General features: G+C 48.4%; 1 protein-coding gene and 2 long non-coding RNA genes across 37 annotated transcripts in view; 1 reads left to right on the plus strand and 2 right to left on the minus strand.

Moving 5' to 3' along the window:
- The window catches only part of NCAM1 (neural cell adhesion molecule 1), a 317,017-nt gene extending 300,610 nt beyond the window's left edge, over positions 1 to 16,407 (plus strand). For 14 of the 31 annotated variants that reach the window (NM_001400612.1, NM_001400609.1, NM_001400608.1 and 11 more), the window contains one exon: positions 817 to 3,168. In NM_001400612.1, the coding sequence (NP_001387541.1) occupies positions 817 to 896 (80 nt within the window). In that variant the 3' untranslated portion in view covers positions 897 to 3,168. Of the gene's footprint in view, positions 1 to 816; positions 3,169 to 8,158; positions 8,367 to 9,730; positions 9,848 to 10,903; positions 11,720 to 13,237 lie in introns of those variants that run through there. The other 17 variants (NM_001242607.2, NM_001400616.1, NM_001400621.1 and 14 more) reach the window with 4 other exon arrangements.
- On the minus strand, positions 7,503 to 11,872 carry NCAM1-AS1 (NCAM1 antisense RNA 1). Its single transcript, NR_034101.1, has 3 exons — positions 11,595 to 11,872; positions 8,175 to 8,492; positions 7,503 to 7,619 (listed from the first exon to the last, which is right to left on the minus strand). It is a non-coding gene; the product is annotated as an NCAM1 antisense RNA 1 (long non-coding RNA).
- Positions 16,408 to 25,705, minus strand: part of TTC12-DT (TTC12 divergent transcript) — a 36,020-nt gene continuing 26,722 nt past the window's right edge. Inside the window, exons 2-5 of one of the 5 annotated variants that reach the window (NR_186361.1) lie at positions 21,828 to 22,561; positions 18,462 to 18,603; positions 17,461 to 17,620; positions 16,408 to 16,714 (exon numbers count right to left, since the gene is read on the minus strand). This is a non-coding gene — a long non-coding RNA (TTC12 divergent transcript). Of the gene's footprint in view, positions 16,715 to 17,352; positions 17,621 to 18,461; positions 18,604 to 20,007; positions 22,562 to 25,705 lie in introns of those variants that run through there. The other 4 variants (NR_199709.1, NR_186360.1, NR_199707.1 and 1 more) reach the window with 4 other exon arrangements.

Here is a 25,705-nt window from a genome sequence, read left to right on the forward strand (position 1 = left end):
CTCTGTGGCTCTCCTGCACAGATCTGAGAAGGTGGTGGCTGTGTTCTCGGTTAGACTTTCCTGGCCATTGAATTGGGATCCGAGAATAAAACCTCTCTGAATTACAAGTTGGACATTTGTGGTTGAATTCTGTGGTCAGCAAGCAGGGTAGAAGGTGAAGCGGGGTACAGAATGAGACTTCCTTTAACAGCACTGTGGTGTGGGACTTGTGCCATAGGAAGAAAAGCCTGCTTCATCTCTGACAAGGCCATCCCCAATCCCTAAGCACAGTGTGCTGACTCATAGTGCAGCGATCCAATGCATCTCCACCACTATGGGTAAAACACGCTAGACACTAGAAGACAATACACTTGCTGGCTGTATCTAAGAGGCTTCACCTTAGTGAAAGGTAACACTCTCCTAATCAAACTCTTGTATTTTAGCGTGGAGGCTTCTGTTCTCTCACTTTAATTTCATTTGCTCGCTGATCCCTAGCCCCCAAATTAACCCTGCTGTGCTGCTTCTGGCATTGCTGAGCTTCTGAACTGGCCTTATGGTATTGATACTGCACTGAACCCTCTCTAACCTTTGTCAATTTAATTTACTAAGTTGAATTAACCTTTGATTCTGTGTTTTCTATAGTTGACCTAATTTTTTTTCTTTTTATCTATTTTTTTCTCTGTTTCTGTCTCTACCTTCCCTTTCCTTCTGTCCCCCTCCCCTTCCTGTGTCTGTCGTCACACTTGTCACCTTGGACGTCACTGGGACATCCCCACTGCCACATTTGTTTTTAAACAACCACATTATCTCTGGGGACCCATTGCTTGACACCTGCAGCAACCTTGGGAGGCAATTCTGCATCCTACACCTTTGTCTCATTGCTTTTCTCTGCAGTGACTCTTCTTTTGCTCTGTTAGGAACTTGAACACAAAAATTAAATTTGCTTAAAAGCCCAGTTCCTATGAAAAAGATCAGTGCCCCCTTTGGAAGAACCTGGCAGGACCACCATGGCCACAGCTGCTGAGCAACCATTCTGTGTGGAAGAGAAGGTTTTGTGATTGGAAAAAGCTTTACCTCCAGACATGTCACCACTCACAGATACTTTTGTGCCACTTCATAAGGAGTTTGCCCCCTTTTTAATGGCAGTAAAAAGAATTTGAGAGCTCTTTCTTTAAATGCTATTTTTAAAAACCATCATGCTAGATTTACAGAGAAGTTTCTGCATATCTGCTACTTGTTGCATTTTGGGTTCAAACCTAAATATGATGTAGCAGAGGAAGAATTCTAAGTACCTTCTAAAGCTTGTGTCAGATTGTTAAAATCACCACACATTCCCCTCATTCTAACTCTGTGCTCCTTGTCCTCCCTTCAATAATAATTGGCTTTGCTTGCAATTAAGCATTTAAGTGCCCATGTTAAAAGAGCCAGACCGCACTGATTCACATGAGCGTTTTGCTGACATGATGGGCAACTGAAGTCACCCCTGTTGCCCATGCACTGGAAAAAAAGTTGAATTTGTTGGATATTTTCTGGGGCTGATGAACGTTCTGGGATGTGCTTTCAGTCCTCGTATTACGGCCAGCACCTTACACTGTCTCTGTGAACGGGGCCAAGCCATGATGTGCCAACAAGTGTCAGCTTTGAAAGGTGTTTGTCTCCCAATCGGGGTGACTCCCCTGCTGCCTGGCAGCATGTCGCAGATCAGCACAGAGTGGGGCCGTGGTTCAGCAGTGACCCACAGAATGGCTTTGAGCATCAGTCTACAGGACAGGTTGGAAGCATCCACTGTGAACCAGGCATTAGTCCCCTACCTGGCCTGTGTGTGCTCAGTAGAGAAGGAGAGGGACAGGCCACTCCCAGACTGCCCAGCCCAGGAGGGTTAATAAATTGGGGCCGAGCCAACCTGTCAGTGCTTCCTGAATGCCCCAGCCTCTGTATTGGTGCGTTGGTTCAGTGACATTTTCTAAACTCTCCTGAAAATCCAGCTGCTCCTCCCTGCTGCTTGGGAGTTCACCCAGGAGAGGAAATGGGTGTGTTTTGTTAAGGTCCCTTGTGGAGACTCAGGGCTGAATCCTGCTTGGTAATATCAGTGTGTGTGCTTGGGGATGGACCTTCTACTGAATAAAAACTCCCTCCCTCCCCCCATTGTGGTCACATATCATTCTACATATCTCATCTCTGAGCATCTCCATGGAAGCTTGATTTTTGTTCTTTTTGGTTTCTTTATGTATTTTTTTCTGTTGTTATTATTTTTTAATGTTCAAAGACTAGCCTTTCCCTTTGGGATTCCAAATGATCCCATGCTGTGGTCTGAGGGGCAAAGCCACCTATGTTGGCGCTCGCCATTAATCCCCAGCGCTCAGTTTAGAGGCTCACGTGCAGACATCAGAGGCTCCATGCTGCACAGTAGCTCAGGCAGGGTAGTGCCTCTCAACCCAGCCACAAAACTCTCCCCGCTGGAGTCCCAGATGGCGCTTCACACCAGGGCAGTGGAGGCAGGCATGGTTTTTGGGCACAGGGCAGAGCATAAGGATCCCAGGTCAGTGTGGGAGAGCTACTGGCTCTTAGGATCACCTTGGGCAGAAGTCACACGGCTTCATCCTAGGAGGGCCCAGCTTGGGAGTCTGCCTCCCCCTGATCCCAGGACCACCCACAGGAGAGGGGCAGTGTCCATCTTTCTGAAGGGACCCTTTGGAGATCTCGTCCTAAGTGTGGAGAGGACTGACGTGGCCCTGTCATCTCAACACATCCCAGGGTCAGGCAGGCCTCAGCTGAAACAATGTCAGGGTCCTCAAGGGTCCCATTTAGACAGACCCACGGCTTGTAACAGTGCGCTCCTCAGGAGGCAGCACTAGCGCATACCCACTCCCCACGGACACTGAGTTCCTGGTGACAGCTGCAGCCCCAGCCCCGCCAGGAGTCCTGGAGACAGCAGCCCTCAGAGACCCTGCAGGAGTGAGTGCACCCCACCTTGCTCAGCCACACCCCACTCCCCTGTGCCCTGTAGTTGTGCTGCCCATGCTCCACACACCATGGGGCCCCTTTGCTCATTTTTGGACTATTTATACAGCAGGTTTGGATCATGTTTTTCTACTAATAAGAATGCTAACATTGTTGTGTAGATAATCAGTGAGGGCTTTATGAAGTTTACACCTTTGCATTATTAAAGGAAATAACAGTTCATGTGAACTCACCAGCGTGGCTTGATTTTATTCAATAGTTGTGTCTGACAAAGCAGCAAAGACCCTTTCCCTCCGCCTCTCATGTACCTGGATAGACTATTACCTAGAGAAATAGTAGCCTGGTGAATGAAATACTTTTTCTTCCTAACGGGGAGCAATCTCTTTTTCCCAGGCATCCTAAGAGCTGTTAAGAGGCATTGCTGCCTTGGAGTCCCCAGCAGGCAGTGGGAGGGGAAAATGCCTTTGCAGAACTGGGGAGGTGGTCACTATGGGGATGGGGCCACACTCTGAGCCAACAGATGCACAACTCTGTGGCAAGGTCACCTGATGACACAGCAGCCTTTATACTATCCCTAACAGAGGCTGCACAGAGTGAGCTTGTGGAGAGGGAATCTGAGAGAAGATTCTCTTTGCAAACTGTATTCTATTCATAATCACACTTAACTCAGACGCATCCTGCAAGCCCCTGAGACCAGCCATCTGTTTAGCTGATTCGAAGGAGCAAGCAGACATGTAAAGGGCTTATGAGTGAACCAGAACCCCAGCTCAACAGTTCCAAGAGTCTGACCATCTTCTGGGAGTCTTGGGGGTGAAAAGGGCATTTCTGCTGCACCAGGGTCTCATGGCACAAGGACTCAGGCCCATCTGGATATTTATAAAATGTGAGACCCATGTTCCTATATTAAGGCATACAAAAATAGGCATCTGTGGGTCTCATTCTTGGAGCAAGCCAGTTCCCTCTTTAGTGCCAACCCCTCCCAAGCCAGGAATCACAGAAGATGGACAGCTCCACCTTCATAATCTCCCTGTCCTGGGCAGCTCTGACCTCGAGGTTATGGGGAAACTCTTCCCCAGAAGCCTTCTTTGCATCCAAGGTGCACAGGTGAGTTAGTCAAGGGAGGGCTGAGGGAAGACCATAGCAAAGACAGACCCATGGAGGTTTATATTTTTCCTTTTATGAAATATTACACAAGAGGCAGGAGATGGCCTTTGTTCTTCTAGTTATCTTGGACTAAACAATTCTGTGATAGCCACTGAGAGGGAATGGGTGTTGGCTTTCGCCTTCAATACCCTGCTGCCCATTTCACAGCCTGTCCCTTCTTCACAGCCTCTTTTTTGTAAAAGCCACAAACATTCTCTTCCTAGCTTAAAGAGCATCTCACCTGCTTGAGGAGTTTAGACTCAGTGTTGGCATACAGTATGGTCGCTTTTCCTTTGGGGCATACTCTTTGTTTTCTCTTGATCCACTCAATACCTTAGGTCAAGTTTGTTTTCAGGGTCACTGGGTGAGACAGCACAGTGCACCCTGGGGTGGCAAATCATGGGATCACGTGCTCCTCTTTGTAATGCAGGGGAGGGAAGACCTAGGAGCGTGGTCCTCATAAGAATCACCTGGGCTGCTTGTTCAACTCCTGTTTCCTGAGCCTCATACCCAGTGATTCAGATCCCATAAAAGTGGGGAGCCCCAGATTCTGAATTGTTAACAAACACCCTAGGAATTTGCTACAGGTGGAGATATATTGAGTTTAAAGGTATTTGTCATGCAAAAATAAAATCACAAGGATCAGTGATTAAATATGGGACCTACCGAGCATTTTGGTCTTCCAGGAAAAAGTCTTTCTCAGTCCACACTCTGGAGACTGGCATTAGGGAACCTGTACCGTGTGCCAGGCAGTGTAGAATGTATGACTTGGAATGACAGGCTCTTGTGGTTGAAGAGACACTCTCCACCCATGCTCCTGCCCAGTGTGGGAGCCTCATCCACAGCCTTACAGCGTCCCTGCCAAGGGGTCTTCTGGCCTCTGCTCGAGTGCCTTCAGCATCAAGGAACTCACCTCTCAGAGCAGCCCACACTATGTTGGATTCGCCCTGTTTATTAGTCCTTTCTCAGATGGAGCTAAAATCTGCCACCACCATAATTTCCACACATTGGTGCCATATACAGTAAGACTACTTCTTCCTTCTGGTTATAACACCTTTAAATATTTGGAAATAGTATTCTCGTCTCCAGACTAAACACTCATCCATTTGTGCAACAAGTATTCTTTGAACATTTTCTGTGAATCAGGATTGTCCTAGATGCTGGGGAGATACAAGAGAGACAGGCAGGGTACCTGCTGGGATGTCCTAGGGGGGATGGCTAGATCATAAGCATGTAAATGAACAGAAAGTGGCAGATAGTAGTTAGAAGAGAATAAAACAGGCTAGCAGCATGGTAGGTATTGGCTGGAGGTGCCACACTAGATAAGAGATCAGATAAGGCTTCTCTGAGAAGGTGACACTGGGACTGAGGCCTGCAGGACAACAGAGAGCCACCCTGGAGGGAGTGTTCCAGGCACAGAATCATCAAGGCCCTAAAGCGGGTTGAGCTGGATGTGTTCAGCAGGCAGAAGGGAGGCTGCCGGTTCACGCCATGAGGCCCAACAGAGGAGTGGGCAGAGTCTGCAGCAGATGGTGGGCCTTTTAGGCCGGGAGAAAGACTTTGAATTTTATATTCAAATGAAAGGGGAGGCCGCTGCCCTACTTGTTTATGCCACAGTTCAGAAGCCTTTTCCCTGCCTGGCCCTCCCCTGGATGTGCGCAGTGCCAGTGCCGCCCTCCAGCTGGGTCTGATGAGCACAGAGCAGTTGTCCCAGCTGCTGTCCTCTCAAGCACATAGAGCAGCTTTGCAGGAGTTTATTTTTCCTCTTTAGAGATATGATTAGTTTCACAAAATCATATTTACACATAAACCTCAGAAGATATAATTAGTGCCATTGAGTCCAAAAATCCAGACATATTCCCCACTGTCATCAAAAAAATACTTTCAGATCTTTCTTCAGGGAGTAGGCACTTTACACCTATCGGGTACTGATGTCCGGAAGCTGCAGTGGCCTGGAGCCCTGTGTCATGGAATGGAGAGAAAACCCAAGGCTAAAGTTTCTTCCCTGTTCAGGGAAACAGCTATGGGATCCTGAAGACCAAGAAGGCCTGTGTCTCCTTTGCTTTTTGGGTGGAATGTGTGAGGACTCTGGGGAAGTGGATGGTTTTGTTCTTATGAGACTAACCAGAAATACCTCTGCATTCATGGCTGCTAAGAAAATGACCCATTCTAGCTGACGGCTAAGGCCAGTGGCCAGCTTCCTGCTGCCAAAGCCCAGAGACAGGTGTCCAGAGCTGGGTTCTCCAAGCAGAGTTCTTCGCCATCTCAAGCCTTCCTGGGGGAATGCGCTAGGATCTTCAGTGCGAGGTCAGCAGGGACCAGCCAGAGAGCCTGAGGAGGAAGGGCTGGGAGGCAAGCCAAGGTCCCAAAGGGACTAAAAACATGTACGAGCTGCACCCAGGGGTCTCAGGAGTCATTTGTGAGGGATCCTCTCTGGCATGCTAGGCTGATGGCCCATTCCCCAAACTGAAGTTTGAAATATGGACCAGTGGAGAGGGACAGCCACCAGAGAAGCACTAGAGTGCCTGGACAGAGACCCCTGGGGCACACAGAGCCATCAATACCACCACCCTCCCGCAAATACAGGCTGCATGAAAAACAAAAAATGTGTGGCCCAGCTCTGGTGCTGGTTACTCAGTTACATGTTCCCTCCACTATCTATCTGGCATGTTACATGGCTCGCAAGCTGCTGAGCCTGGCCTGGTGCTTGGCAAAGCCTAGCGAGCTGGGTTGGGAGTGGGGTGGCTGGTGGGGTGAGCCCCAGGTAGTGCTGGCTACAGTTCCCATCTTCAGTCTGCAGTCCTGGGTGGCTTCAGTTGGCCCTGAGAGCACAGGAAGCTTTAGACATAGTCTACTGGTGGGGCAGGGCTGCCAGTTATGGAAGCAGGTTGTTCTGGAGGAAAGATGAATTAGAAGTGCCCATATTTCAGTCGAGGGTGATTGTTCCCACATCGACTTAATGGCAGAGCTCCACATGGGTCCTTGCTTCCTGCATCATGACCACTGTCTCCCAGACACTGATGGGAACCACCAAGAGGTCAATTGGTCCATCCCAGGCAACTAGTGTCAATCGTAACCATGGGTTGATCTCCCAGGGGCCCCAGAGAGCTGAGTCCAGGTCTCTCTGTGAAACCATCAATAGCCAAAGACCCTGGGGGGATTGCAGATGGGCACCAGGGAAGTAAGACACAGGCTGAGTCTTTCACAGTGAGTCCAGCCAGAACCAGGGTGCCAGGTGCTAGAATGTGAGAGTGCATGCCTGTCTGCATGGGCATTTATCCTGCGTGTGAGTGTGCCTGTGTGTGTGTGCACCTCTGAGTGAGTCTGCACTCACTTCAGGTTTTCCTGAAGTCTGGTCCAAGCAGGCCTGAGCTCCTAGATGGTGAGTATTCCCAGACCTTTCACCTTGCCCATGGCCTGGGGAGGCCTCCATGTCTCTGGAGTCACCCAGGCTTCACTTGTCTTCCTGGGGTGCAGTGAGGAGGGTAAACTATGAACCCAGTGTGCTCTAATGCAGGGCTCCTTTGGGGTCATTCCTAAAGAGGGAAAGAGGAAGTGGAGAAGTATAATGGGGATGCTATTGTGATGGACAACCCAACAAGCCCCAAGAAAGCCCCAGGAACCCTCCACCACCCCATTTTGGGCCCCTATCCCTGAGCACTTGAGGAGCCACAGCCCCGCCTGAAATCAGTGATCACTGCCTGCCTGTGCTGCAAAGCCTTTTGCCCTGGTCCAGGGGAAACACAGCAGCGCCCTCCAACTGCCTCATTATCCGGTGTTCTCAGACAGGCGGGGCTCAGTCTGCTCCCAGGACTCACGGGAGGCCAGCTGACCAGGCTCACCCCTGTTCCCCAATCTGTGAGATGATGTTGTCATCCCTCCCTCTGGAAGGTATAGAAAGACCCTGTTTTCTCAATTCTGGGGCATAGAAGGTCCCCAGGAAGGTGTCACTCTGGGCATGAATGCCATGACTCTGTCCTCTGGGCCCTCCCCACCCGCAGGGGCTTTTGCTGGCAGGGTCTGGAGGTCTCGCATCTCAGTCTGTTAACCACCAGCCATCTCTCTCCCACTCAAGCCAACGGCAGCCCCACCTCAGGCCTGAGCACCGGGGCCATCGTGGGCATCCTCATCGTCATCTTCGTCCTGCTCCTGGTGGTTGTGGACATCACCTGCTACTTCCTGAACAAGTGTGGCCTGTTCATGTGCATTGCGGTCAACCTGTGTGGAAAAGCCGGGCCCGGGGCCAAGGGCAAGGACATGGAGGAGGGCAAGGCCGCCTTCTCGTGAGTGCAGACCTGTCCACCTTGCTGAGGTTTGGGCTCTGCTCCAGCCCAGGGACCCAGCAGCTGCACCACCCTGCGCCATCAGCTGGTGCCTTTCCTTTCATTGCACGTTCTCCATTTGGAACCCTGATGGGGGAAAAACATTAGAGAAAAGTTTCTCAAAGCATGGTCTTTGGGGGTTACCTGTTTGAAATGTAGACTCTTGAGCCCAATCCCAGATCTCTTGTATTAGAATCTCCCCAGAGTGTGAAAATCCCTGTGTAGGTCAAAATGAGGGAAATTGTCAGAACTAAACCTGGGGAGGAGCTGCCATGGGGTAGGGCAGCATTAGAGGGACACACTTACCTTGCTTTCGTACATTGTTTATTCATTCATTCATCCATCACTCAACAAATATTTATCAAGCAGCTGCTGCAGGCAAGGCACTGTTCCCAGGCACATAGGTACAACAGGGAACAAACAGATAGAAATTCTTGTCCTTATGGAGCTGATGATCCAGATACTGTCCCTCCAACAGCATCTTGGAGAAACAGATCCTAAGCCAGTTAGCAAGAGCCTTCGAAGACTGTCACTGGGTGGAGCAGAGCTGGAGCAAGCCAGAAAGGGACTGAGCAAGGAAATAAGTTGTTTAGCACCACCACATGCCAGGCACTGTATATGCATATACATGTATGTGCATGTACTTAGAAATGTATGTATAGGGGTGACTCACGCCTGTAATCCCAGCACTTTGGGAGGCCGAGATGGATGGATCATTTGAGGTCAGGAGTTGGAGACCAGCCTGGCTAACATGGCGAAGCCCCGCCTCTACTAAAAATACAAAAATTAGCCAGGCGTGGTGGCATGCTCCTGTAATCCCAGCTATTCAGGAGGCTGAGGCTGGAGAATCGCTTGAACCCAGGAGGCGGAGGTTGCAACGAACCAAGATCACGCCACTGCACTCCAGCCTGGGCGACATAGAGAGACTCTGTCTCAAAAAAAAAAAAAAAAAAAAAAAAAAAGAAAAGGAAAGGAAAAGAAATGTATGTATACCTGTGTACAGAGACAGATGTATGTATTTGAGCAATGATCTGTGTCAGGCACTGTGTTTAGCACTTCCCATGCATCCTTTCATTGAATTCTCATAACTAGGCAAAGTAACAGTGTTTTTGCCTCATTTTACAGATGAAGGGACTGAGGCAGGGTGATTAAATCTGAAGCTCAAGGTCACACAGCTAGCAAGGGTTGGGCTGAGACTTATACATTTGAATCTGTTGGCTCTGGATGCCCACCGTGCCAGCCTTGGGTTGAGTCATAGCTGCTCTTCCGTGGGAGCCCCTCCCTGCAGCTGCCCTAGGGTCTAACCAGCAGTACTGTCTCCACAGGAAAGATGAGTCCAAGGAGCCCATCGTGGAGGTTCGAACGGAGGAGGAGAGGACCCCAAACCATGATGGAGGGAAACACACAGAGCCCAACGAGACCACGCCACTGACGGAGCCCGAGTACGTGGGCTGGGAGGGGCTGGCACCTGCTCCGTAGAGACCCCCACACCCACCTCCCCACCCTACCCCCACCTCCCGTGCCCCTACCCACAGCTCCCGGCCAAACAGTTCAGGCCAGGATTCCAAACCCTTGGCCACAAGACCTGCTTGGCTGAGAAATGCCTGACCTCAGGCATTTCTGGTTCTATTTCGGTGGCTGTGGGTACCCTTAGAAGGCTCCTGTATAAGTAGGGATCCCTGGATCCCTAGCCCCTGTTCTCAAGTTATACACATATTCTGGAAATGGCTTAAGGTGGCAAAATCTCACTGAAAGGCTTAGCAGAGTCTGCTTAGGATTTCTTGAAATTCTAGGGTTTTGTGTTTTCCCCCTGAAAGGATAAGGGAAGCTGGGGACCTGGTAAAGTTCTCTGCCCCTCCTCTGTTCAGAAACCTCGGGGACCCACGGAGCCCCAGACCAGTTGTGGTTGTAATGCCTGCCTAGCTGTCAAGGATCTTATGGGCTTAAAGGGAATGGAGTTTCAGGGAACCACAAAATCTGTGACTGGAAGAACCCACAGCTCCTATGAGCCATTCTGAGTACTCGTGATCTGCCTTATTCGTGACTTTTCCCATCGGTGCCCTGGGGAGCCCTGCAGGACAGCTGGGCCCAGTTCCTCTGGGACCTGGGAAGCCTAGAGCAGGTGGATGCTGAACAGAAGCCTGCCCCTCCTTGAATGGAGATCCAGGGCAGGGATCAGGAAGCCCTAGGCAGGTCTGCAAGGACTTCAGGGAAAGGGAGCTCTATGCAGAGAGCTGGAGAGACATCAGCAGGGAAGGGCTAGCAGGTCCCTTTTGAGACCGCCACGTTCTCTGTCGTCTCCTGTGTCCTCTTCTGCCCACCTGGGCGTGTGCTTCCTCTCAGCATCCTTCTCTCTCTGTGGGCCTGTGTCCGTGCCTGTGCCTAACTGCATGCCCCCACCCCCATGGTCCCTGTCCTGGGCTTCAGCCCTCCTCCTCGCTTCTCTGTCACGTCTCAGCTTCATTGTCTATTCTCTTCTACTTCCTGTCCTCCCACAGGCTGCCTGCCGACACTACGGCCACTGTCGAGGACATGCTGCCTTCTGTCACCACCGTCACCACTAACTCTGACACTATCACCGAAACCTTTGCCACTGCTCAGAACAGCCCCACCAGTGAGACCACCACCCTGACCTCCAGTATTGCCCCGCCGGCCACGGCCACGCCTGACTCAAACTCTGTACCGGCTGGCCAGGCCACCCCTTCCAAGGGGCCCAGCGCCTCTGCCCCCTCCCCGGCCCCAGCTTCAGCCCCCAAGGTCGCCCCCCTCGTTGACCTGAGCGACACCCCGACCTCAACCCCTGCCGCTAGCAATTTGTCTTCTAGTGTCCTGGCTAACCAAGGGGCTGTCCTCAGCCCAAGCGCCCCTGCTGGTGTCGGGGAGGCCTCTAAGGCTCCTCCGGCCAGCAAGCCCACCCCTGCACCAGTCCCCACCCCGACTGGGGCAGCCAGTCCTCTAGCAGCAGCGGCTGCCCCTGCCACAGAAGCCCCTCAGGCCAAGCAGGAGGCTCCCAGCACCAAAGGCCCGGACCCGGAGCCCACCCAGCCCGGAGCCGCGAAGAGCCCGGCCGAGGCAGCCACAGCCCTTGCTAGCCCGAAGAGCGAGGCTGCCTCCGTCAGCACCACAAACCCTTCCCAGGGCGAGGACTTTAAAATGGACGAAGGGAACTTCAAGACCCCAGATATTGACCTTGCAAAGGATGTTTTTGCAGCCCTGGGCTCTCCTGCTCCCGCCGCTGGGGCCAGTGGACAAGCCCCTGAGCTTGCTCCTTCCACTGCAGACAGCTCTGTTTCGCCTGCGCCAGCAAAGACCGAGTACGGCCTCTCTTTGTCTGCTGTCATCGGGTTGTGTCCTGTGGTGGTGTGCATTTGTGCTGTGCTGTGTCCTCCTTGTTAGATGTGTCTTCAGCCTCATCCAGGGCTTCTCTGAGGCGACCGTCAACCAAGGGGCTGGGATAAGGCAGAGAGAGCAGGACAGGCAGCTGGGCCCCAGGAGCAGCCGCCTGCTGGCTAATTAGGCCATGTTAATTATGTTTTATCCTTATCATCCTAGCAGCGGCTTCTGTTTTCCCTGGGGGAGCCCTTGCAGTCAGGCCACTGATGAGAATAGCTTGGGAAGCAGGCTAAGAAGGCCAAGGTGCCCTTATCAGCCACCCTGGGGCCCCCAGTCGGTGTGTTATTCAGTGCCAGGCTGAGTCCCTACCAGAAAGGCACTGATGTGCAGGAAGAAAAGAGGTAGGCCCCAGGCCCGTGGCAGGGGAGGGTGCAGTTCAGAGGTCCCCTCACACTGTGGCTCAGATGCTCACCCTCCCCTCCCAACCCCGGCCCCCAGCCCACTCTTGCTTCTCCTGCTCTTAGAGTGGCTGGGAAGACTCGGGGCTCCCCAGCATCAAATGGCTGCTGGGTCTCAAAGTTCAAGAGAAAGGCCTTAACCTTTCAGGTTTGTAAGTGTCTTGCCAAAATTCAGTGGCACCAGCTGAGGCTGGGGTCTGTGCCTGTCCCCATGCATCCTCAGACCCGACTCCCTTTCCTGGAACTGATGGAGGCAGAGTCAGACCTAGATTTTTATAGAGGCTCCTATGGCTGCTCCCCAGATAAGCTGCCATGCTGCCACCATGGGCTGCAAGGGGCTCTCGCCAGGAGCCCTGAATCTCAGCATCGGGAGGGAAAAGGACTCTGATAGCCCTGCCCACTCAGCTGCCCTCAACTCTCGCATAGCCACCAGGCCCACTCTAGTACCCCACCAGGCTGCCATGAAAAGCTGCCTCCATCAGTGTTTTCTCACCCTACCCAGGCAGGCCCTAGAGGCATCATCCTGCAACAGCACAGGGTGGGGTGGGGAAGGGACAGGCAAGAGTGGGTTGCAAAGGGGCCCCTGAAATCAGTGCTGGGAGCCCAGCCCAGCCCAGCAGGCTGCATTTACATCCAGCTGAGCTGTTGCCACTGCAGCTGGTCAGGGTGAGGAGGAGCTGCCTCTGCTGCCCCCTTCCACCACCCCAGGTAAAAACACAGCCTCTGGCATCAACTTAGGGCTGGAAGAGGAAAGGACTCGTTCTTCTGACTCAGTGCTTCTCAACTATGGCTGCACATTAGAGTCACTTGGGTGCTTTTAAAAGTCACTGTGTCCGGACCAATTAAATCAGGATTTCCGCGAACACAGCTCGGGCTTGGGTGATTTTTAGTGCTCCCAGGTGATTTGACGGGCAGAGGTTGGAGCCGGGTGCTGTCACTGGAGAACCCCTCCTCCTCCCTGCTGTCCCCAAGGCCTGGATGCAGGGGCGAGATGTCTGCAGACCGTGGTCTCAGTGGTTCTGTTTTCCTGATTCTCTGCAGGAAGGGCCCCGTAGAAGCAAAGCCAGAGTGCCAGGAGACAGAAACGAAGCCAGCGCCAGCCGAAGTCAAGACGGTCCCCAATGACGCCACACAGACAAAGGAGAACGAGAGCAAAGCATGATGGGTGAAGAGAACCGAGCAAAGATCAAAATAAAAAGTGACACAGCAGCTTCACCAGAGCATTTCCAACACCACAGACACACACACGCACGCACACACACAAACACACATGCACACACACACATCTCATTTCTCTAGTGTCTTTTGCCTTTAAAAAAAACTAAACAGATAAAACATGGGAATCTCCTTTTTGTAGGTTTATAGAAAGGGTCCCTTTGTTGCACACTCACTTGTAAGAAAATGAGACAAAAAGGTTAAACCCACAGCCAAACTAGGACACTCCGTTCCCTGAAACCGTTAAAAAATCAAACAAAAGGACCCCAAATTAAGAATCTAGGAAGCTCAGAAACGAAATCTAGGTTCAGGAAGACCACACTTGGTGTTACCCGATTGGCACAGACCAGTTTCAGAGAAATACTTTCAGGCACTAAGACTAATCGAATGAACAAAGTCCACAGTTTATTTTTATACTTTCAGTCAAGTTTGAACTCTGTAAAACCTCATAAATAAGTTATAATTTCTGTTCACTTTGTATTTGTTCAGTATGCAAAGTGTGTCACCCTTTCTAGCTGAATTCAATTCCCACGTAGACTCTTATTTTATAGGACGAATGCCAAATTGCAGCTTCTGGGGGTAGATCTCAATTTGCAGTATTCAGACTTCTTTTTCTTTCTTTTACATTCTTTTTTCTTTCTTTCTTTCTGCCAACTTTGTTTTCCAGTGTTTACAAGGTGACAAATGTTTGACTTTGGTTGTGTTTAAATGTCCGTGTAAAATAGCTGCCTTTTATTTTTTAAGGTAACAAATACCACCTAGAGGTAGGTAGGATCATCCCACGCTTGCTTTAGCACAGGACAACTTTACAAAACATGATTGTTTACAGCTGCTCTTCCCCTCTTTTCTGATCTGCAGTTTTTGCCTGGGTCCCACTCAGGTGAAAATCCATCTCATTCTGGAATGGTTTTGCTTTTGAATTTTTGGTTATTTTTGTGTTTCTTTGGGGGTTAGACCACTTTCTGATTAGCCGCCACCTGCCTGCATCTGTGAAAAGGGATCTGCTCCCAGGCGTTCTCACCCTTCTTTTGAAGGACTCCTTAGGCTTTGTTGAATGAAGCAGAGAAGATTGTATAGTTGGGGCTGGTCTTGGTGAACACACATTATTACCCCACACATCCCCTTTGTGTAGAAAGCCAAATAAAATCTATACATACCATTTCCTTTTGAGCCCAGAATCTAGATTTGAGCGGAAGAGCATGTGTGCTTCAGGGAATTAGTGTCTTTTTTTGGAAATCTGTTGAAGTAAAGTAACATCGGCCTTCTGTTCACTTAGGCAGCATTTATAGAAACAAAAGAAGAAAGAAACAACCTACTGTCTGGAGTCATAACACAACTTTCCTGGATTGGAAACCAAGTGGGGGAAAAAATACAGAAACTTTAAGGGGGATGGGAGGGGGGGGAGAAGGGAAAAGCCAGCCCTTTGTATAGAAATTTTGCTTTTTTTTCCCTCATTCTACTTTAGAACTGCAAGCTTGTGCACTGTGGATGCGTGAATATTTTAGTGTGAAACGTGTTTTTGTCATAGTATTGAAATAAAACTTCAACATAGTTTGGTTGTGGAAGGTATAGCAGATAGTTCAGAAAAAATATTCAGGAAACAAAAATCACTCAAACGGAATCGAAGCCTTTTAACAAAGAAAATGAAATACAGATGATGATGATGATGATGAAGATGATGCTAAGTAAACAGAAATCAGTACTCCGCATGCGCTCCTCTCCTAAGGTACAAAGCAGCAAGAGGTTAGGGTGGCAAGGCTGCCTCTGGGTCCATTCTGTGGGCCACTCTCCCCAACGTTCTGACACTTCTGCAGTCTGATCAGTGGCGATGCTAGATTATAATTTCAAACTGTGAAGAATAATGGTCTTGTCATTTGCTCAATGTGGGGTTATGTTGCATTTTCTCAGCTCCTGGGGATGGAAATGGAGGATCCCAGAACACACAGCCCTGGCCCCTTTGATTCTAGGGCCTGCACAGATCTCTGGTTCAAATGCACAGGCCCTCAGAATAGAGGAACATGAAGAGAGATCTTAGAGCACACAGTAGAATGTGAGAGCCTGGGTGTCTGAGACCGGGAGGGCCCAGCAGTGAGGGGCAGGCTCTTCTGGTCACCAGGCTGTTCAGTGGACTCAGTTCTTCATCTTGTAATGTCGATGGCTTTGCCACACCAGGCCAAGCCCATGCCATACCTTGTCAAGACTGTCAAAGTGGTTGTGGTTAGGTCAAACTGGTTTTGGTTCTGATGGTTAGGAAGAAACAGGTCAGCCCTCAGATCACCTGGCCCGGGACAGCTGACCCCCTAGAACCCTGGCTCTGCCATTAGCTAGGACCTAAGACTCTGCCCACATTTTGGTCTGTTCTCTCCCATTACACATAGGTTTGTCTCAGCATGCAAGAGTTTTTCCTTTAAAAAAAAAAAAAAAAAAAAAAAAAAAGCAATGCTTTCTCTAAAATCAAAGAGGGAGTCATTTTATTCCAAGATGTTTTATCTTTTATGTTAAGAGATCAAAGCTTATAATTTTCTTTTTTAATTTTTGAAGGAGGGATCAACTCCAGTTTCCAATGTCTATGTGTCTATGTGTGTATGTGCCATACATATGTATTCACATGAAGACCGGCATGGCCAAGTTCTGCTGGAGGAGCACTCAAGTGTGACGAGCAGGGCCACTGGACCCTGCAGGGCTGTGGTGTATATAGTGCAGCTTTGGAGGTGGAACTCTATTTTCACACTTTTCTATGGAGCCTTCCGAGTCCCAGGTTTTCACTTGAGGCTGTCTGTCTGGATGGCGGTTTTCAGACCTCCATTAACATCCCTACCCAGCATTCTGTACTTCGGGGGCCTTCTCTCTTGTTATAAAACTTTTTACCAAGTGAAACATCGATACCACCTTTGTTTCCATTCTCACTGGTGTAAATACTGAGTACTAACTGAGAATTTTGACTTTGCATTCTGTCGGAATACTTGTGTTCAATAAAAATTGAAAGAAAAAAGCTATTATGATCATACTGGGGTTTATTTCAATGCGGTGAGAGTCTGTTATGTGCATCAAATGTGGACATGCGTGTGGTAGTTCCTTTAGGACCTTGTGTGCGAGGAAGGTTAGCGAAGTCTCAGTGTCTTGAGTTCATGTGTTGCCTGAATGATGCTTTCTGTATTTTTTCTCACAGGCTGATAGATGAGAGTCCTAATTTAGAAGGGGCAGACGTCAGATTCAGAAAGGTTTCCTTCGAACTCTGGTTCTGCCGCTCCCCGGTTGACCTTGAAAGAGTTGCTTAATCTCCCCAAGATTCAGTTTCCTTTTCTGACATACAGGAAATACCAAGAAAAGAGAGTTAGTTAGGGTGCTGGTTGATGAATGAAACAATGTACATGAAGGCCTAGTGTCTTCTTTCTTGGCACACAGTGGGAACTCAATCAGCGGGAGTTGGCGCTGTTGGCATCCTGGGTGTGCGATACCATCAGACCTAATCGTAGTAATAGTCAACACCTGAGCTTCAAGATTTCAGCAATAAGGTAATGACATGGCGCTTATTCTAAAATAAGTAATGCCTCCTTCTTACTGCTTTGGCCTATCTCTCAGCATTTAGAGCCGTCATTCAGCCCCTGGAGTTTATTATGTCTCTAAGCTAGACAGAGTGAATAAAACTTTGCCTCAGCTAAGCATTCTCTTGTATATGCTGCTCTCTGGCTGTGTCTGAAAGAAGCAGCTGCTAGAGTTGGAGATGTCCATTAGGCTGTGGAATTGGGAGTTCCTGGAAGAGACCTGCTGTAGAATCAAGGCTAAGGTAAAGCAAGGGAGAATCCCAGGGCACAAAATGTAAGGAGGTGCCCACTCTCGGGGCTGACCCTGCACTTACATGAATCTGAGAGTGATACGCCCTTCAAGTTTGCATCCTTCAATTTTACCTCGCTTGCCTGTAATAATAACACAGAGCCACATGCATCTATGTGATTTTATTTGCCCCAGATTTCAGCTGCATATGACAGGCTAAGACTAAAACACATTGTTTACAAGATTTGGAGAAAACATAAAATGATGACACTCACTCTCCGTTGGTCCATGAGGGCTTGCTTCCAGAGCCTTCCCCCTTCGGGCTAGTTTCCTCTCAGATTCATTCAGTATTCATAGAGCATCTCCAAGGTTCTTGGGATACTGGGATACGGCAGTGAGCAAGGCAACTCTTTCTCATGTAGGTTACATTCAAGCCTGGGAGTGGGGCAGACAATAGACATGTAAACATCCAGTGTGCTGTGGCGGTTCTCCCTTCCTTCCTTCCAGACACATTGTGGGATTCCCCTCATTTAAAGGTAGCGTGGCCAGATGACTTGCTTCAGTAAATGGAATATGAACAGAAGTAGCATGTGTCACCTCCAGGCAGAGCCTTTGTCATGCCCCTTTCCCCCACACCCCCTGCAGCAATCAGCAATGCTTCAGGTGGTGGAAGTGCCATCACCTGGGCTCAGAGTAAGGGATGTGAACAGGTGCTCCATGATGGACATGGAGTGTGTGAGAGGGATGAGCCAATAGTTGTTAGTAAATGTTTAATGGCCAACTCTCCAAAGGAGAAGGGCAACATGTGTGTGTGCACACATGTATGTGTTTCACTTATAAAGGATGCCATTGACAAATAATAAAATACACAGTATTCTACATTGAAATTGCATCTATCCAACTGATACCCACAGAATGCTTTGGTTCATTTTTTGCTGAAGTATTGTATCCATAATCAGTTTATGGTTCCCATTTACAAAGGACTGTAATTCCAACCTGCATGTTGGCTGATATGTTCATTTATGTTAACAAATAAGATAAAACAATAAAGACATATGTTAGAACTTCACTCATCCATCTATGGTGTGAGTGACTTCTTTGTTGAATTGGGGATAAGTTTTTGAATACTAGAGAAATACTGCCTCAATTTTTTGTGCCATTCGTTCACAGTGTAACAGCTGCAGACATGGCACACTTGTAAGTTTAATCTGCATCATAAAATATTTCCCCATTACTTTCATAAATCTAGACAAGCACTAAAAAAAATAAATCAAACCTTGATTTGTAGCATTTACTGACTTCAGCAGTGTGTAAATACTCTCAGTATGGCTGATTTCAATATGGCATCACCAGACGAGGAGTTAGGTAGAGATGCATAGTAGCATGTCATTATATAATACTGTATTTCCACCAGGCAGCTACAAGAGAAATAACATCAAGTGCATAGGTAATAGTAGTATGTAGTAATAATAAAATTTTTAACATATTAATAACAGTAGTAAAATAAGTAGTAATATAATTAAGAAGGGATGCATTTTGAGTATTTATTGCCTTTGGTTTTAATATAATTTAGTTAATTATAACTTTATGTAATTTAACTTTTTATAAATTATATATGTTTGCATAACACCTGGCTCACAAATTTCCTGAAAAGTTAGCAATTGGCTCTCTGGAGCCAGTACAAGCTGGTTCTAGCATATCACTGGAAAACCCTTTATATTACAAACCATTTAAATTTGGGATTTGTAACCTTACCATTATGTAGCCTATCATGGCTAACTCAGGGAATGGTAAGTGCAGAGCGGAACAATGCATCTAGGTAAAGGGGTTATGGAGTATTATTTTATACAGGGCAGTCAGAGTAGTACTCTCTGAAAAGGTGACATTTGAGCAGTGACCTGAAAGAAGTAAGGAACTGAACTGTGCAAATATCTGAAGGAAGATATTTCAGGCAGAGAGAACAACATGTGCAAAGGTCCTGAGGTAGGGACTTGGCTAGCATCTTTGAAGAAGAGCAAGAGGCCAGTGTGGCTGGAACAGAAAGCAAATGATGGGGTGGGGCAGAGAGTAAAGAGATAGGAAATGACTCAGAAGTATCTATGAGCTAGATTGCACAGGATCTGTAGACTGTTGTTAGAATTTTGCCTTTTCTTCAAGTGGGATGGAAAGCCAAGGGATGTTTTTGCCAGAAGCCTGACATGACTTGAGTATTAAAATGAGCACTCTGGCTGCTGGGTGGATAACAGATCACAGGAGGGCAAGAGCAAATGTAAGGATACCAGTGAGGAGGCGATGATCCAGAGGGGACAGGATGATGTGCTTGCAGCAAGCTGCGGCTGGTGGAAGGCTGAGCAGTGGCCAGCTCTGGACATGTACTAAAGGTAAAGCCAGCAAGATTGGATAATAGATTGGATGTGTGGTTTGAGAGAGGAATCACTGATGACTTTCAGATTTTGAATCTACACATTTGAAAGGATGGAGTTGCCATTTACTTTGGAAAAGGAGTGCAGGAGAAGCAGATTATTTGGACGATGGAACATTAGTCTCAGGATACTTGAAGTCTGGGATGCCTGTGAACACCTGAGCAGAGATTTTGCGTAGGCTAAAGTTTGAGAGGTCCAGACTGGAGATTCACGTAGGAGCTGTCCACATAGTGCTTGTACTTCAAACTCTGGGACTTGGTGATCACCATGTGATATCTCCAAGTATATATATTAAAGAGAGAAAAGAACTAAGCAGGGGACCTGGGAAGGAAAATGCACAGGCAGCTCCGTCTCAAGGAGAATTGTCAGAAATTCCTACTACACCATTTGCAGCCTCACCTTGGAGGACAAGGTCAGGAGAGGCAGTGACTTGGTATCTCCTTTCCAGGGTGGCCTCCTCTTCCCAATCCCTTAAGAGAACTTGTGTCTACCTGTCCTGTTGCCTGGAAGGCATGGGTATACTCTGGAGTCTAGAAAATAAATTTGTCTTGTAGCTAGAAAAAGATTTCCTGGGATCCTTGTTGCCCTGGGTGTTTCCATGATCACCGCGACTCTGTCGAGTGTCCCCCATTGCTTTCCAGACCCTCATACCCCCTTCATCTGATTTAACCCTGGTGCTACTGGGGCAGACAGAGTAGGGTGCCTCTGAGTGTTGGGGTGGAGAGTCACGCTAACATTACCAGTGAAAGCAAGACACCTACGCATCCCTCCAGGTGAAGGTCTCATATAAGCTGAGCTTGGATGGTAGAAGCTAGATGAAGGGAGGCTGCATTAGATTGTACCTGATGGCCTCCAATCCACTGCCCTCACTCTGGACAGAATGACCTGTGCAGAATGGGCATCTCATCCCATCTCTGGCTGCCCCCATTAAGATCTTCAATGGCTTCTAAAGACCCTCAGGAGAGAATGCAAGCTTTTTATCAAGACTAACACAACCCATCTTGGTCAGGTCTTGCTTACTCCTCCAGCCCCAGTTCTAGCACTCCTAAAACTTCTACATATGCTCCAGCCCTGCTGAACTACTTGTGGGTACTAAAATGATCCACATTCTCTCCCACCTCCCTGAGCTCACGCGAATTATGTTTCATTTTGCTTCCATGCCTGGAATTGTTAAACATGTTTGGCTATATTTTAAAGATGAACACCATTTACAGTAGCTTTAATGGCATTCTCTAAGCAGAGCTCAGTTGCCTGGGTCCAGGCTAGATCATGGTAAATGAAGCACAGGCATTTCCTCTGACCAGAGACCCAGGGAGGGATGGGGCCTCTCATGTTCCTGACACATTTTCGTGGAGCTATATGTGCTGTCATCTCAGAGGGTAAGTCAGGGGTTGCTGGCTGAGCACTGGAACTCTTGGGAATGGGGTCACATGGTCTTGAGAGGAGCAGGATGATGGTCGTGGGATGTGGGACCAGTAGTGGTGGCAGCAGAGATTCTTAGGGAGACAAGGCTAGAGCTTGGCATGCTATTCAGGAAAATGTTCTCCCAGGCAGGGCAACACATGTCCAGTACTTTGCATGATGCTGTTGATTCACTGAATATTCCTGGAAGCTTGTAGAAGCTCCGTGGAGTGTGGCAGCATGCACCTCTGTGCTAGGCAATCACCATGGAGTAGCTTCTATGCAGAACTAAGCATTAGGGTTTATTTATTTTTGCCATCTCCCTACCAATATGACTTGTTCTCAAATAATGCTAAGGAAAGAAAGGTAGGGTGAGAACATGGCTGCTTTCCCTATTAGATGTGGTCATGTAATAAAAGATTCTGAGGGATGGAAAACTGGTAGAGGTACATCCAGGCAGAGAAAGCTCAGTTCCATTCCTCTCCTCCCTCCTAAATTATTCTGCCAGGTTCTGGGATTCCCATAAGACGATCAACAAACTTCTCTATGCTTTCACCTTCCCTGTCAATGTGTTTGCATCACCTTTCCTTACTTGGTTCTCCTCTTCTCCAGACACTGATTCCTGGACACTGCTACTTATTCTGCACCCTGAGTGCCCTAGGATCTGGGCACAGGGGCTGTGTCTTACTTGCCCCTTATTGTCACCTCCAGACTATCATTCCCTCACTTTGTTGTCAGGCCGATGTTCCACCAAGGATCATGCCATTGAGTCCCCTAGGCTGCCAATGCCAAGTGCAGAATCCTGAATATGCACTTACTCGTGAAGACTTTAATCTTTAGCCCATGATCCTCCTCTCTCCTGAAGGTCCACCATCATCCTCAGTGACTTCAGTACATTATATGGGCAATTCCTCCAACACAAAGGCCCCTCAGTTTGACCTCCTCATCTCCAATGACCTTCCTCTTCACTCCACGTAAGCCACTTTTGCTCTTGGTCAAACTCTGGGCTGATCATGCCATTCACCTAAGTCAGAGTCCAGAGTCCAGATTCCCCACTCTCCAACACTCCCTTGGATCCATCTAGCTCACTCACCCAACTAGTTTCATACATCAGTTCTTTGTCATTGCCTAGTTATTGACTCCTAGATTTTCCTCTATTTGCCACATCCTCCCTTCACCTCCGTCCATATCCAGCCTCAATTCCCAGGTCTAGCATGGCAGCCACACAGTCAATGATATCAGAAACTTCCTTGCCTTGATGCTCTCACATTGCCTCTGTCTTGTAGAACTCTAGCCCTGGAAAATCTCCTGGCTGCCACCTCTTTAGTTACACCTGGTCAGCTGGATGCTATTTGAGAAAAACCACATGACCAGGCTCATTATTAGCAATATTGAAGGTCACTCTCAACAAGGTCCTCAGCACTGCCTGGCAGTCCTACTGACATTTGTCAGCAACTCATTCAGTTCTCCTCTACAAAAATGTCTTCACTTTTCCAAACCAATTCATTCCTCCACCACCTCTTTCATCTCAGCTACCAGTCTTGCTTCCTTCCTGTAAAAGAAAAGAGGAGCCATCAGAAAGGAACGACCTCCATTCCCAACACCAAATCTACACACCTACCTGCGTTCAGGTCGCCCCTTCCTCCTCTGCCCCTGTTATAACAGAAGCAGTATCTCTCCCTTTCTACAGCAATCCCTTTCCCTGGGCCCTGGCCTTTGTGTTCTACTTCAATGGGGTCTTTCTCATCCATTCAATATCCCTTCCAATGTTTATTGAGCACCTGCCAAGGCCAAAGCTGTTCTAGGTGCTGAGGAAAGAAAGATCACCCTCATAGATCCTACGTTCTAAATAACTATATACAATAAGCCAATGATGACAAGTGCTGCAAAGAGACAGGCACATATGAGGCAAAGAGGTAACTCATGAGGAGGAGCTGCCATTTTACATGGGACAATTAGGGAAGACTTCTCTGAGGAGGTGGCATTTAAGCCAAGACCTAAGATCATGAGGGAGCTTGTGTTCCAAGTACTTAAAGACCTTCTCTGCTGGCTACTTCTCTTCAAACGTGTGGTAGGTAAGACTCTCAATAAATATGAAGTGCATGCTTTTTCTACTATTGAACTTAACTTCTCCTTCAATCTGTCATTCTATGCAGTGGTAGAAATTTAATCTCCATCAAATTAGGGTCTATCTCATCCTCAACCCTCTTAATGTTGCCGATGAGATGCCTTAATGACCTCTCCAAGCCCATCTCACACTATTCTCTCTTCACATGCTACATGCCATATATAGTGAAATGATGGTATTTTCTTGGCTATGCCATGTGCTTTCTCATCTCTGTGTTTCCACAGGTGCAAACACTTCTTGTTTTCTCTGGAAGTCTCTCTAGCACCCGCCAATGCCTGCAACGAATCCTTGACTTTTACTCCATCGTTAGGTCTTAGTTCAGATATCTGAGTTCAAAGGCTCAGGTATGCCTTTCCTGACACCTGATCCAGCTTGCATTCTGCTGTTTTATGTTCTGTTGAGGGCCAATTATACAGCTGGCCCGTGCTGGTTTGGTCATATCAGGTTATTAAAATATTGCAATGCTTCTTTGCTGTTAAAAGTAGCTGCTGTCACCCCAGCCCCTCACAAAGGAATTTGTAGGTGGCTCTACCTGGCCCAGAGAGGATCTCCAGGGCTTTGCTCCAACACTATGGCTGGTGTTCACAGAATAGAGTCTGTAAATATTTTTAACATATCCTAAGACCTCATGCTTTGTTTAGTCTCTGATTTGTTTCTCTTTCTCACTGATCTCTGAACTCCTCCAGGGCAAGTTCTGTGTCTGTCTTCATTACTACTTTATCCCGGCACCACATACAGCACCTGCTACAAAGCCAGAACTTGATATTTGTCAGTCTCATGAATGACAGAGTGAATGAGTGCATGAGTGAAATGATTACACGTGCATACCAGCCATGGTTACCTGCCCATGTTCATCTGTGTGTGCGCAAACAGGGCCTACAGCTGGCCAAGAAGATGCCTTTGACAGCCACACAGCAGTGCCCACTGTCCAGTACCCTGGAGGAAGTCCACACCTCTACCCACAAGGCTCACATGTGCCTAGAGAGGTTCTCTGCTCTGCCTGCCCAGCCCCTGGTCATGGGTCACCACCTCCTCCTTCCTCCAGGCTGGTGGCAATGTCCAGTCAGTGAGCAGCACCTTCACGATGGGGAAGAGCTGGGAAGACTTGAGTTAGAGGACCTTGAAAGGCAGGATTATTGTTATTGGGTCTACCTGCGTGTCCCAAAGCTGTGGTTATCTGAGGCCCAAGGCTGACCATGCAAAGCCTTGGAGCCTCCTTGCTTGGAGTCTCCTCCCTAAGGGGGAAAACCTCTGGGTTGAGAGACTGAGAAAGAGCAAAGAGGAGGCCAAGTGTGATCTGGGAAGGGTCTACTGGTCCCCAGGTCTAGGTGTCAGTGACCAGGGAGAGCATTGTGCTGTTTCTCCTTCCTGAAACTGAGCTTCCAACCCCAGCTCAAAACATGATAACCCACAGGGGTCTGTTTAGAGTGCTTCCCATGGGGATGGTCATACACAGGCTGTTGGAAAGGTGGCTGTGAGCATGAGGAAGTAGGCTTGGAAGATCGCTCACACCAACAGGTGTTGGATCTTCCCTAGGGAGCCTCAGTTTGGAGCGCAGGAATCTAGCCCACAAGCCCTGCTGTAGTCCATGTCCTGATGCTGAAGGAGGAAAGAAAGCCCGTCCTCTGAGACATGGAGAGGGTCTGTCATGGGCAGACCCAGGCTGGGATGCAGCAGCAACTCTCCTCCCCACCACACTTGGCCAAGCTCCTCCATCATCCCCTACATCACCCTTCTGAGTCTCCCGAGGCACTGTTTAAACTGCACATTCATGGACTCCAGCCCCAGAGATCCATACCTTGGCTATGGCATGGGACCTGGAAGCCATACCACAAGTGTGATGACTTGGGTCTGGGGCAGGAAGATTCCATTGCATGTGGTCCTTAGACCGCACATAGAGAAACTGGCAGGTGTGCGGCTGGGGAACATCTCCACCATGAAACGCCTGGCCTGAGGTCCTAGCACCATCCAACTGAGGCTGGGGAAACTCTTTCAGGAGTTTCTGCGGTTCCATGTAGACAGACAGGAAATGCTGTAGACACAGCCATGTGTCTGGATGTTGGCAAGACAATTCCCAAAACCCAGCACACTTCACCACACATGCTGGACGGCAGTTAGCACCCCAAAGGAGCTCAGCTCAGCTGTGTGGGGAAACAGCAGCTGAGATGATGTAATGCCACAGGGACAGATGGAAACTCCTGCACACTCTCAAAAAATCCAACCACGAAAAGTGCACGCTGAAGACAATGGGGCTCAGCAACAGAGAATATTTGAAATAGAAAAATAAAAGACTGGGGTCTAAATGGACTATAAACTCAATATGAGAGATGATGCATTGCAGATGGTCAAAAATACTTGTGATACTGAAACTGACAGTTTGATTTATTTATGTGTAACACTTCTATAACACTACGTCTGGCCATGCTTTAAGCACTCCACAAATATTTATTCATTTAGCACTTAGAACAATTCTGAGTAGATACTATTATTAACCCCATCTTACAGATGAAGAAACCGTGGCAAGAGAGGTTCGATCATTTGCTGAGAGTCACACAGCTAGGAAGAGGC

This window comes from Homo sapiens, chromosome 11 (assembly GCF_000001405.40).
Source record: "Homo sapiens chromosome 11, GRCh38.p14 Primary Assembly".
Taxonomy (NCBI): domain Eukaryota; kingdom Metazoa; phylum Chordata; class Mammalia; order Primates; family Hominidae; genus Homo; species Homo sapiens.